Source organism: Homo sapiens, chromosome 4 (assembly GCF_000001405.40).
Source record: "Homo sapiens chromosome 4, GRCh38.p14 Primary Assembly".
In the NCBI taxonomy this organism is placed as follows: domain Eukaryota; kingdom Metazoa; phylum Chordata; class Mammalia; order Primates; family Hominidae; genus Homo; species Homo sapiens.
Window position 1 is genome coordinate 154646858 of NC_000004.12, and position 14131 is coordinate 154660988.

General features: G+C 39.1%; 1 long non-coding RNA gene across 10 annotated transcripts in view, besides 1 other annotated feature; it reads left to right on the top strand.

Annotated features, from left to right (window-relative positions):
- LOC124900169 (uncharacterized) overlaps nucleotides 1–14131 on the top strand; it is a 109752-nt gene that overhangs the window by 20474 nt on the left and 75147 nt on the right. The gene's annotated exons all lie outside the window — the stretch shown is intronic.
- Nucleotides 12694–14047: an enhancer, noted in NCBI's record as "VISTA enhancer hs1707". NCBI's record gives its function as "enhancer in: pancreas[5/14]" and the evidence as "EXISTENCE:transgenic organism evidence [ECO:0001131][PMID:17130149]".

The following is a 14131-nucleotide window of genomic DNA, read 5'->3' on the forward strand; positions in this document are numbered from 1 at the left end:
GGTTGGCATGACCCACAGAGAGTGAGAAAACGGAGGGTAGAGCAATTGTCCACCTGGTAGCCACATGGGGCAAGGAAGCTCCCACCCCCAGCCAAGGGAGGCGGTGAGTGATTCTGCTACCCCACCTTGGAAACCATACTTATTCCAATGATCTGTGTGAACCACAGGTCAGGAGATCCCCTTATGAGCCCATGCCACCAGGGCTTTGGATCCCAAGCACAGAGCTGTGCAGATTCTCTATGGCTGCTCAGCTAGAGACTGTTTAAGGCTACCCAGTTCTCAGGGGGAGGGGAAACCATCATCATTGATGCCTAAGAAAATTGGGGAGACTGGGCAGTTTGGACCCAGGAGGAATTCTCCATAACATAGCACAGCGGTTGTGGCAGACTGTGGCCAGATTTCCTCTTTAGGCTAGACCCTAACCCATCCCTGCTCAACGGGTAGGGCCTGCTTGTGGGAATTTCAGCAACTCTAGCCAGGGGTTTCCTGACAGAACTCTGATCTTTCTGGGATGGAGTGCCTATGGGGAGGGGTGGCTGTGATCTCTGCAGATCAGCAGACTTAGTCTTTCTTCCTGCTGGCTCTGAGGAATCCAGGCAATATGGACAAGTGGGATTCCCCCCAGTATAGTGCACCCCCTCTGCCAAGGGGCAGCCAGAGTGCTTCATTAAGTTGGTCCCTCATCCCATGCCTCCTGACTGGGTGAGACCCTCCGACTGGGTGAGACCCTCCAACAGGGTCACCGGACACTTTATACAGGAGCGTTCCTGCTGGCATCAGGTTGGTGCCCTTCTGGGACAGAGCTCCCAGAGGAAGGAGCAGCAACCATCTTTGCTATTCTCCAGCCTTCCTGGGTGACACCTCCATGTGTGAGAAGGACCAAGGTGAATAGGGTCTGGAGTGGACCCCCAGCAAACTGCAGTAGCCCTATGTAAGAGGGACTTGACTGTTAAAAACAAACAGAAAGCAACAAAAACAACAGGGTCAAAAATAGTACCCACAAAAACCCCATCCAAAGGTCAGCAGCCTCAAAGATCAAAGCTAGATAAACTCATGAAGATGAGAAAGAATCAATGAAAAGACTCTGAAAACTCAAAAAGCCAGAGTGCCTCTTCTTCTCCGAATGATCATGACACCTCTCCAGCAAGGGCACAGAACTGGGAGGAGGCTGAGATGGATGAATTGGCAGAAGTAGGCTTCAGGAGGTGGGTAATAATGAAGTTTGCTGAGCTAAAGGAGCATGTTCTAACCCAATGCAAAGAAGCGAAGAATAATGATAAAACATTACAGGAACTGTTAACCAGAATAACCAGTTTGGAGAGGAACATAAATGGAGCTGAAAAATACAACTCAAGGACTTCACAATGCAACCACAAGTATCACTAGCTGAATAGACCAAGCAGAGGAAAGAATTTCAAAGCTTGAAGGCTATCTTGCTGAAATAAGACAGTCAGACAAGACTAGAGTAAAAAGAATGACAAGGAACAAACAAAACCTCTGAGAACTATGGAATTATGTAAAAAGACCAAACTATGATTGGGGTATGTGAAGGAGATGGGGAGAATGAAACCAAGTTGGCAGGGAGAATGAAATCAAGTTGGAAAACATACTTCAGGATATCATCTTGGAGAACTTCCCCAACCTAACAAGACAGGCCAATATTCAAATTCAGGAAATCCAGAGAACCCCAGTAAGATACTCCATGAGAACAGTAACCCCAAGACACATAATCATCAGATTCTCTAATGTTGAAATGAAGGAAAAAATGTTAAGGGCAGCCAGAGAGAAAGGCCAGGTCACCTACAAAGGGGAACCCATCCGACTAACAGCAGAACTCTCAGCAGAAACCCTACAAGCCAGAAGAGGTTGGGGGCCAATATTCAACATTCTTAAAGGAAAGAATTTCCAATCCAGAATTTCATATCTGGCCAAACTAAGCTTTATACGCAAAGCAGAAATAAAATCCTTTTCAGACAAACAAATGCTGAGGGAATTTATCACCACCAGGCCTGCCTGGCAAGAGCTCCTGAAGGAAGCACTAAATTTGGAAAGGAAAAACCATTACCAGCCACTACAAAAACACACTGAAGTACAAAGACCAATGACACTATGAAACAACTACGTTAACAAGTCTGCAAAGTAACCAGCTAGCATCATGATGACAGGATCAAATTCACACATAACAATATTAACCTTAAATGTAAATGGGCTAAATGCCCCAATTAAAAGACACAGAATAGCAATCTAGATAAGGAGTCAAGACTCATCATTGTGCTGTATTCAAAGGACCAATCTTTGTGCAAAGACACACATAGGCTCAAAATAAGGGATGGAGGAAAATTTACCAAGCAAATAGAAAAGAGAAAAAAGCAGGAGTTGCAATCCTAGTTTCTGACAAAACAGACTTTAAACCAACAGAGATAAAAAAGACAAGGGCATTATATGATAGTAAAGGATTCAATTCAACAAGAAGTACTAACTATTCTATGTATATATGCACCCAATACAGGAGCACCCAGATTCATAAAGCAAGTTCTTAGAGATCTACAAAGAGACTCAGACTCTCACACAATAATAGTCGGAGACTTTAACACTCCATTGTCAATATTAGACAAATCAATGAGACAGAAAATTAACTGGATCAAGTGGACCTGATAGACATCTACAGAACTCTCCACCCCAAAACAACAGAATATACATTCTTCTCATTGTCACATGGCACTTACCGTAAACTCAGTCACATAATTGGAAGCAAAACACTCCTTAGCAAATGCAAAAGACCTGAAATCATAACAGTCTCTCAGACCACAGTACAAATTAGAACTCAAGATTAAGAAACCCACTCAGAACCACACAACTACATGGAAATTGAACAATCTGCTCCTGAATGACTCCTGGGTAAATAATGAAATTAAGGCAGAAATCAAAAGTTCTTTGAAACCAATGAGAACAAAGAGACAACATACCGGAATCTCTGGGAGGCAGCTAACGCAGTGTTAAGAGGGAAATTTATAGCACTAAGTGCCCACAACAAAAAACTAGAAAGATCTTAAATTGATATTCTAACATCATAACTAAAAAAACTAGAGAACCAAGAGCAAACAAACCCCAAAGACAGCAGGAGACAAGAAATAACCAAGATCAGAGCTGAACTGAAGGAGATAGAGACATGAAAAACCCTTCAAAAAAAAATCAGTGATTCCAGGAGCTGGTTTTTTGAAAAAAATAAAATAAAGTAAACCACTAGCTGGACTAATAAAGAAGAAAAGGGAAAAGAATCAACTAGACACAATAAAAATTGATAAATAGGATATCACTACTGACCCCTGAAAACTAGACAACCGTCAGAGAATACTATAAACACCTCTGTGCAGATAAACTAGAAAATCCAGAAGAAATGGATAAATTCCTGGATACATGCACCCTCCCAAGATTGAACCAGGAAGAAGTTGAATCCCTGAATAGACCTATAACAAGTTCTGAAATTGAGGCAGTAATAGTCTACCAACCAAAAAAAAGCTCAGCACCAGATGGATTTACAGCTGAATTCTACCAGAGGTACAAAGAGGAGCTGGTACCATTTCTTCTGAAACTATTCCAAGAAATTGAAAAGGAGGGACTCCTCCCTAACTCATTTTATGAAACCAGCATCATCCTGATACCAAAACCTGGCAGAGATCAACAAAAAAAGAAAACTTTGGGACAATATTCCTGATGAACATCGATGCAAAAATCCTCAATAAAATAGTGGCAAACTGAATCCAGCAGCATATCAAAAAGCTTATCCACCACGATCAAGTCAGTTTCATCCCTGGGATGCAAGGCTGGTTCAACATATGCAAATCAATAAACATGATTCATCACCTAAATAGAACTAAAGACAAAAACCATATCTCAATAGACGCAGAAAAGGCCTTTGAAAAATTTCAACATCCATTCATGTTAAAAACTCTCAATAAACTAGGTATTGATGGAACATACCTCAAGATAATAAGAGCCATCTGTGACAAACCCACAGCCAATATCATACTGAATGAACAAAAGCTGGAAGCATTCCCCTTGAAAACTGGCACAAGGCAAGGATGCCCTTTCTTGCCACTTCTATTCAACATAGGTGTAAGTTCTGGCCAGGGCAATCAGGTAAGAGAAAGAAATAAAGCATATTCAAATAGGAAGAGGGGAAGTTAAACTGTCTCTGTTTGCAGATGACATGATCCTATATTTAGAAAACCCCATCATCTCAGCCCAAAAGCTTTTTAAGCTGATAAGAAACTTCAGCAAAGTCTCAGGATACAAAATGAATTTTCAAAAATTCCTATACAGGCATTCCTATACGCCAACTATAGACAAGCAGAGAGCCAAAATCATGAATGAACTCCCATTCACAATTGCTACAAAGAGAATAAAATACCTATGAATACAGCTAACAAGGGACATGAAGGATCTGTTTTATAGGTATGTTTTCAACTTAGGAAATACAGTTATAGTAATGGTTTTAATGACCTTGTCTACTAATTCTAACATCTGTGTCAGATATGAGTCTGTTTTAATTGATGGATTTCTTTTCCCTCAGTGTGAGCCTATTTTCCTGCTTTTTTGCATACCTGCTAATTTTGGTTAGGAAGACAGACATTGTGAATTTTACCTTGTTAGTTGCAAGTTATGTTCATATCTTGAGCTTTGTTCTGGATTGTGATTAAATTACTTTGAAACTGGTCCATTTTGGTCATGCTTTTAAGATATGTTAGGTAGGACCAGAGCAGCATTTAGTCTAGGACTAAATTCCCCACTTTTGAGGCAAAGCCTTCTGAGCATTCTACCTATTTTCCTATGAATTGTGAGGTTTTCCAGTCTAGCTAGTGAGAATAGGCACTACTGTCAGACTTAAGTAACTTCTTCATACCCATGCACTGCTAGTTCTCTGCGGAATACTTCGGAGGGACCCTCTGTAGATCTCCAGAGTTGTCTATCTGTATAGCAGATGCCTGTCTCTCTCCTGCAATCTATCCTGTGAACTCCCTGGACTTCCTGGTAATCGGTTTATGTTCTTCTTGGACTCTTAGTTCCTCAACTCGGGGAATCTGCCATTCTCCATCTGAGTTCCTCCTCCTGGTGCATGACCTGGAAACTCAATCATACACACACTTCATTTGTTTTATATCTCAGGGATCACTTTTCTTTGTTGCTTGATGTCCAGTATCTTGAAAACTGTTTTTTTACATATTTTGTCTGTTTTCTTGGTTATTTCAATCAGGAATATAAATTTGGTCCATGTGACTCCATCTTTTCTGGAGTGAAATTTCTACTTCAAGTGTTCATGAAAAGGTTTTTGTTAGTTTTGCCATATAATTTTCTATTTGAATTTAGGCAGTAATCTAAATTGTACTTTAGATTAAGAAAGGAATGAATTACTTTATGTCAAATACATATTTATATAAAGAAATATTCTACATACAAAAGATATATTGTAAATAAAATAATTAACTTTTGTGTTTTTTCATAGTTTGGTTGGAAAAGTAATTATTTTGATTTATTAGCAGCTATAAGGTAAGTCTAATAATAATAGTAGCAGTAATTTTACACTTTTAACTATATTACAGTTAAAATCATTTTTTTGAAATTAAAATACATATATCTGGAGATCATGCCAAATACATTTTAAACTGAATATATTTATAGTTTTTAATGCTGCAGATTATTAAAGCTGAATACATAAGCCTTATGCAAAGACTTAAGAAATTTTCTGAAACAAAGTAACTATCACTTACTGAGTGTGTGTGTACTTTGTGGCAGGTACTTCATAAAATTATTTTTTATTCTCATAATGTATTTATTAGGTAGATATCATTATCCTCATTTCAGAAATGAGGAAACTGGTATCTAATAGGGTTATATAATTTCCCTAAGTTACAGAGTAAGTTAAATGGTAGAGCCTGGATTTAAACAGGTCAGATAACTAAAACCCAAAGTATTTTATTATGCCATGCTGACCAAAATTCTCAACTCTATAATGAACTTCCAGTTATTAAGATTTTTAAGAATGTGTTTTATAATGAATTTGTTGGTTAGTTTTAGCTTATTAACATACCAAGTAGGAGAGTAATATTTTACAAATTTTCTCTCCTGTAATGTAATGATAATTTGATGTCACACTTCAGGTCTGGTTATAACTCACATTTGAAACACTTTGCAGTTTCCATGGTGCTTTCACATAGTTTTATCTATTAATTCTCATAGCCACATGGGTATGACATTAACCTCATTTTGCTCAAACTTTACCACCTGGTCTAGGTTCCCATGATTCTTAGATGAGTGTTTTTTCTATGGTTCCAAGCTAGCCTTTTTGTGTCATTAACTTATTTTATTAAAACAAATAAGCAAAACCAAAATGACACTGATATAAAATCAAATCATTTTCCCCGCTTTTATAATACCTTTAAAAATAAAGTTTTATTTGTAATATATTCTTTTTATATTTGAACATGTATTAAAACATTTTTCTCGCTATAGTAATGCTAGTTTTTTATTTGCTTTGCAGTCTTGCAGGCAATCTCACTGAATGTGGTACTCAGGGTACTGGTGGAATATTCACCGATTATCATTTGGTGCCAGACTGACAGGAAGCAATGAATATATATATATATATATATATATATAAAGGTTATAGCATGGCATATAGTATCTACATTTTATAAATTTTATTGTTCATTAAACTGTATTTAAGTAGTGCCCATTTAAAAATATCTTTGTATTGTGAAACACAAGCAAATGTTATATCCTAGTCATTATTATCTTATTAGGATCCAGAACTAAGTTGTAGGAGAATTCTTTTTTTTTTTTTTCTTTGAGATGGAGTCTCCCTGTGTTGCCCAGGCTGGATGGAGTGCAGTGGTGTGGTCCTGGCTCACGGCAACTTCCAACTCTCTGGTTCAAGCGATTCTCCTGCCTCAGCCTCCCGTGTAGCTGGGATTACGGGCACATACCGCCACACCCAGCTAATGTTTGTATTTTTAGTAGAGATGGGGTTTTGCCATGTTGGCCAGGATGATCTTGATCTTCTGACCTCGTGATATGCCCACCTTGGACTCTCAAAGTGCTGGGATTATAGGCATGAGCCACCGCCCCTGGCCATAGGAGAATTCTTTAAGGCATCTTAAAGATCATACTTCCTCAAAATAATATGCAATATTTTTGTACTTCTATTATAATATTATGATGTCTAACTTATTATCAATGTTTGTTGTTATTAAACCATTATTATATCTGTTATGGGTTGAATTGTGTCCCCCCAAAAAGATACAGTATGTTGAAGTCCTAACCCCCAGTGCCTAAGAATATGACCTTATTTGGAGATAGGGTCTTTAAAGAGGTAATCAAGTTGAAATGAAGTCATTAGGGAGAGCCGTCATCCAATATGAATGGTGTCCTTATTAGAAGGGGATATTTGGACAGACAGAAGATGAGAGTGATGCATTTAAAACCACGGAACACCAGCGATTGGTGGCAAACACCAGAAGCTGGGAAGGGGCAAGGAAGGATTCTCCCCTAGAACTGTCAGAGAGAGCATGGCCCTGCCTGCTGATACCTTGATTTTGAATTTCTAGCCTCCAGAACTGTGAGCCTATAAATTCCTGTTGTTTTAAGTCACCCAGTTTTTGGTACTTTTTTATGGCTGCCCTAGGAAAGTAATATAGTACCTGAAATAGAAATAGAACCTCTCCCTTTAAGGACTGAATACACTGAATATACTGAGACCTTAAATGCCAGGACATGCTCATGATTTACTTTTTCTCTCACCCTATTCCATCCAAGTCTTCGTTGTTAGAAGTAGCAGAAGGCCCTTGGTCCTAGAAGCTCCTTGCTCTCAGAAGCTCCTGCAATATGCACCAGCAAAGTCGGCTTCATTTACCAATATGAAGCTTACAATACACAGGCCTCTGCTTTAGTGGAAAACAGGAGACTTTAGATGACATTCCAAACCGCTGTCAGTCTAGACAGTAGATCTTTCCAGTCTTGTCTCCACTTTTACTCTGTGAGCCTTGTCTGTAGCCAGACAGGCACTGCTCACTCTTCTCTCTATCATTTCTTTTTCCTCCTCCTTGGCTGTCATGTGGCACCAGACTGGCAGGAAGCAGTGAAAACACGAGTGTCAGAGCACTGATGGGAAATGTGGCTGAGGCCCTTTGCTGTTAGGGCTCTGCATTGTCTCCCTCAGGGGGAGCATCTGCGGTCTCAGTGTGGAGAGCAGGTGGCTCCCACACTTTATACCTACTGACCTGGCGTCTCACCGGAGCTTCTGAATCACAACCCCACTAGAAAGATCTGAATAGATTTGACTTTATTTATAATTTTATTCTTACCTCAAAATCATCCACCCCTGTTGAAGACATGTCCATTTCTGACAGTGACATGGTCAGTCGGCCACTAATTCAGACTCAGGCAATCTTGGTTCTCTTCTATGGTCTGCTTTATCTCATCAATCACCAGATGAGATCAGTGTTTCAATCCATAATATTTCTCATTTTGTTTCTTTCATATTCACTCACACTTGCCAGTTTCCTCATCTAGATTCTGCAGGCGACTATAATAGTCTTTTAATTGGTTTCCCTGTCTCTTGTTTCTAGTGCCAGGGCTTTCCAACTCTGAAGTAGTGATAGTCTTATCTATTCAACCAGATTGTAAACTCTTTGAAAAGATGGATCTTTGCATATCTAGGAATTTATCATAATAGCATTGTCTCACCCAAAATAGCAATTAAAAACCATAAATTCTACAGACATTACCTGGAATCCTAGTTCTACCACTTATAAGCTCTGTGAGATGGGTCAAGCTACTTAACTTCTATTTGCCTCAATTCACCGATCTGTAGAATAAGGATAATCTGTGCTAGTTAGGTTGTAGAATGGGAAGGTGGTGTGAATCAAATAATAAATGTAAAGCACTTAGGACAGTGCCAAAGATATGTAGTAAGTTTTCAGTAAAATGTTCACCTCTATTTTACTGTTTTGCACTTAGATGTTCATCAGATATCTGTAAATGAATCAAACTGATACTATATTAACACAAGAACAGACATGTGCTTTGACTGCATCTGAACATATGTTGCCCATCTTAATTGTGTTGACGTAGTCCTGAGCTTTTTGAGTTCCTCAAGCATAAAATTAGGATAACACCTACTCACAGGGTTGTTTAAAGAGGAAAATAAATGAGCTGCCATTGGTAAGGACTGAGTCCAGTGCCTGACATATAGTAAACACTAAATAAATGGCACCCAGTAGAAATAGAAATAATGGCAATACTATTGGTAGTAAAGCAGTGGTAGCAGTGATGGTGGTGGTTTTAATGGTAGCAATAATAGTAGTAATGCAGTGGGCAGCAGTATTTCATTTAGTTTCTTATAACTGTGGGACATATAAGAAATTGAGAGTAGCTTGGGGGAATGTGAGGAAAAGACATCAAGATTTATTTGAGATTGGGTGAGCATTGATAGTTGAAGCCATGGAAGTGGATGAGGTGGCTTGGGAATGTAGAGGACCACAAGGGGAGAATCAAGGAATCAAGGGAAGGGAAGGACAAGGGGAAAGTTGAGTGTATTGGGAAGTCTAGGGTTGGGTTTCAGTAAGTTCTTGTCCATCTGATTCAGAGGTAGTGGGAGGAAGCACATAAGTTCTAAGAGGGGCAGCTGTGATAAGAGAGTTAAGGAAGACAGCTAGTAGGCTGTGCTATAGTGCCTGCCCAGCCTGCATCTCCAGTCATTTCTCAACCATGTTCTCACCTTTCCACCTTTCTCCGACTTTGTCTCCTTTCCTTCTTAACATTTAAAGAATTAATTTCTTTATCTATATACCCATATAAAATATTTTTCATAAATGAATAAATCTGGTCATATTCCATCTTCTTTCTTTAATGTAGTTCTCTTATTATTTTTTGTTTGCCTCCTCTTTTCCCACTGCTCCTCTCTCCTGCTTATTGGCATCGCTTCTGCCTATGTAATCATGCTATAGACCAAACATGTATTCTTTTATACTTTGTATTTACCCTCAGATAATCATATACGGATGTGAATGCATATACACATATTAACATATTGGTGTATAATAAAATGTTCTAGGCCGGGCGCGGTGGTTCACACCTGTAATCCCAGCACTTTGCGGGGCAGAGGCGGGCGGATCACGAGGTCAGGAGATGGAGACCATCCTGGCTAACATGGTGAAACCCCGTCTCTACTAAAAATACAACAAAAAAAATAAAAATAAAAGTAAAATATTCTCCTATCTGATAAGCCAAGTCCTTCCTCATCCCCTTTTCTTAAAAAATATTTTTTTTGTGGCTGGGCATGGTGGCTTGCGCCTGTAATCCCAGCACTGTGGGAGGCCGAGGTGGGTGGATCACCTGATGTCGGGAGTTCAAGACCAGCCTGACCAACATGGAGAAACTGCATCTCTACTAAAAATACAAAAAAAATTAGCCAGACGTAGTGGTGCATGCCTGTAATCCCAGCTACCTGGGAGGCTGAGGCAGGAGAATCACTTGAACTTGGGAGGCGGAGGTTGTGGTGAGCTGAGATCGCGCCATTGCACTCCAGCCTGGGCAACAAGAGCGAAACTCCATCTCAAAAAATATATATATTTTTTGCTATTGTTTGGCATTTGTTCTTTCACATGAGCCTTAAGATTATCTTATCCAAAGGAGGAAATTCTAACTGGATTTGTTTTGAGTATATAATTAACTTGGTAGAACTGACATTTTATTATAATGTCTTTCCATCTAAGAAAATGGTTTGTTTTTCCATTTTTATAGATCTTGTTTTATTGTTCTTCAATACATTTTAGAGATATGTGCCATGGATAATATCACAGAATTGTCAACTTACTTCCACACTTTGCTTAGAAAGGATGGTATGAAGTTGGAAACAATTGCAGTTTTGTATGATAAAGACTGGAGTGTGTGCGTGCGTGTGTGTGTGTGTGTGTGTGTAGATGTAACGTTTAAGAACAAAACCATATTATTCACTGACCTGGAATTTCAGTAGGAGACACTTGGGAAGAGTCACAAGTTACATCTGCTGAGGATCACCAACTTCATACGATAGCTGTTCAGCCACTGTACCAAAGAAGACAATCCCCCCCAAGCAGGGGGGCTTGGGTATGAGGAACTGTCCATCGGAAAGCTTTCCAGTATGGGAAATCATATATTGTGCATAGGTGAAAAACAGGGAAAACTATGGTTCAGAGCAGCCAGGAGGAGAATCCGAGGAAAAGTGGCTACATTATACCAAATGATACATTTGATGAATAACAATTATCCAAACTGTGTATTTTACATATTCAGTTTCTATATTTAATATTACACCTCTTAAAATCACATGATGACTTATCAGTGTGTGATAAGGACTAAATTCAGATGATGCCTGGGAGCCAAAGATAAAGAAATCATACTGAGAGGAATGGATGTATTTCGTATAGAAATTCAGTTAATGTTTTTCTAAAGGTGCGGAAACGGCGTCTGGCTCCTTGTGATGAGAATCCTAGCTGGATGGAGCAGGGATTCAAGGGAAAGAAGTCAGAGGAATAGGACTGCATGAGCTGGGAGGCCTGGCAAGCGCTATGCATGATTGGTTCCTGCCCAGTCAAATTGAGGCAGGAGAATAGAGTCTGGAGGCTGAGAACCTAAGGCCGTTTCACGCTGACTTCCTATAACTAATTTAAAGGAAAACCCTAACTTTCCAAGCCTAAATAACAAAAGGACCAGCGGCTACTCACTTTGTAAACCCCCCACCTTTTCTGCACTGGCAGATGGGAAATTGGCTGTCCACAGCAAATCAGACTGATTGCTGGTGGAGTCTTCATTTGCAACTTTGTAACTTCACTCCAGCCTCTGAATGGCTGCTGTCCACAACCAATCAGACTGGTTGCCTGCCGAGTCTTCATTTGCATAGAAGTATAACTTTGTAACTTCACCCTAGCATCTGATTGGTTGCTTGGCGCAACCAATCAGATGCTTGCGCAGGAGTGTGACCTTTGTAACTTCACTTCAGCCTCTGATTGGCTGCTTTCTGCAACCAATCAGACTGACTGCTAGCTACCGCTTCATGTACGTGAAGTGAGCATGAAGTGGCCAATGGGAAATTTGTAGGGGGTATTTGAACCCAAGAAGATTCTGTATCCGGGCACTTGAGCTGCTGCTCAGGTTGGCTCCCACGCTATGGAGTGTACTTTCGTTTTTCAATAAATCCCTGTGTTCCTTCTTTTGTTGCTTCATTCTTTCTTTGCTTTGCTGGGAGTTTTGTTCAATTCTTTGTTCAAAACGCCAGGAACCTGGCCAACTTGCAGTCATGACTCTCTATCGGTGACAAAATTCCTCTGGTCCATGGTGACTTCAGACTGATTCCAGGGCTTACTGCATTGGCGGTCAGATTGATCCCCACTCTCTTCTTACTGCTTGCAGTAAAAGGAAGATTGTTATGAACCCAAGCTGGCAGGACTTAGCCTCAGCTTTCAAATACCCACTGTGATGTACCAGTACTTTATAGAAAGAAAATATTTTTAATCTTTGAAGCCAGAAATTATCCCCTAAATGTATATATGTGTTCACTATTATTTTCCTTGAAAAATATTCTTCTAAATCTTAAAAAATATTATGGTTTTATCCAAAAGAAAAATCTTAATTTTGCCTCAGTGATTCAAATCATATTGACGAATGCTGTGTGGTTTAGGTTTTTTCTTAATGATTCAGTGATTTATTCCAAATAAGACATATTTCTCCTGGCTGCCTACTTCTACTATAAACATCCCACAAATATTGTACCTTAAATAGCATTCTTAGCAACTGCGAATTAAAAATCATCTCTATTCAGCTAAATAGTAAGATGATATCCACTTATTATTTCTGATGTTTCCTCTTTTTTCTATGTCTCTATATTTCTGCATTTAAATGTGTGGTTTAAATAAAATATGCAATACAAAATGTAAAATATGACAACTGTTTTACTTTAAATAATATCTAGAACAACCAAGACTTATCTATAATTTTTTCACTAAGGATAGTCCCAAGGAATAGTATCTTTATCATCTTCTGTAGGGTCCTTTTAATTGTAATTATGCATAGCACATGGCCTTTTAAAACTTGTAATTTTTATTTATGATGTTTAAAAATGCAGTGGTCATAATATAAAATAGCTTCAATTAGTATATTTATTCTTTCTCCACTGCAGTCTTTAAAAACGAATAATAAACTCCCAGTGAACTTTTACCCTGTAAATGACCTGATATGACACATTTGAACTTGCAGTGAACTTACACATGAACTTTCAGTTATCCTCTGAGAAATACAGCAGATGGAAAATAGGCAGATTTTTCAAATATTTTCAGAAGCAGGACTTTGACATGCTCAACAGAGGGAACAAGGCCAGTTATCTCTTGGCAGTGTTTACTTTGCTGGCTTTGTTGCACTGCAGGCTGTTTAGTTACATTATATGCCTGAACAGAGAGTTTCAGTTATATTTGTGTTTGACTGACACCTTGATTTTAAACCAGCTCTTGTGTATATATTTAAAGACAAAATTAACTTTGGGAGGCCGAGGCGGGTGAATCATGAGGTGAGGAGTTCAAGACCAGCCTGGCCAAGATGGTGAAACCCTGTCTCTACTAAAAATACAAAAATTAGCCAGGCGCGGTGGCAGGCACCTGTCGTCACAGCTACTGGGGAGGCTGAGGCAGGAGAACTGCTTGAAGCTGGTGGGGCAGAGGTTGCAGTGAGCCAAGATCGCACCACTGCACTCCAGCCTGAGTGACAGAGTGAGACTCTATCTCAAAAAAAAAGAAAGACAAAACTAATTGGGTCATAAAATACAACAAATTCTAAGAGAACTTTATTGAATCAATTGAAATAATATTGTTTCTAATCATTTAAATACTAGGGGGTTTTAAAAGTTCATTTCAGATTTTAGAATATGAATCAGCTATAATGTCTTTGACTTTAAATAGTTTTCAGCTAGGAATTCAGGTCAAAATGTATGTGGTTTCTGAAAGGTCACTTGGGAAAAGAAGAGAATTAACTGAGCACTAACTAGTCTACTATTATTGCTATGGTGTGAGATAGGCTCCTTAGAGTTACTTAATCCTGACAACTT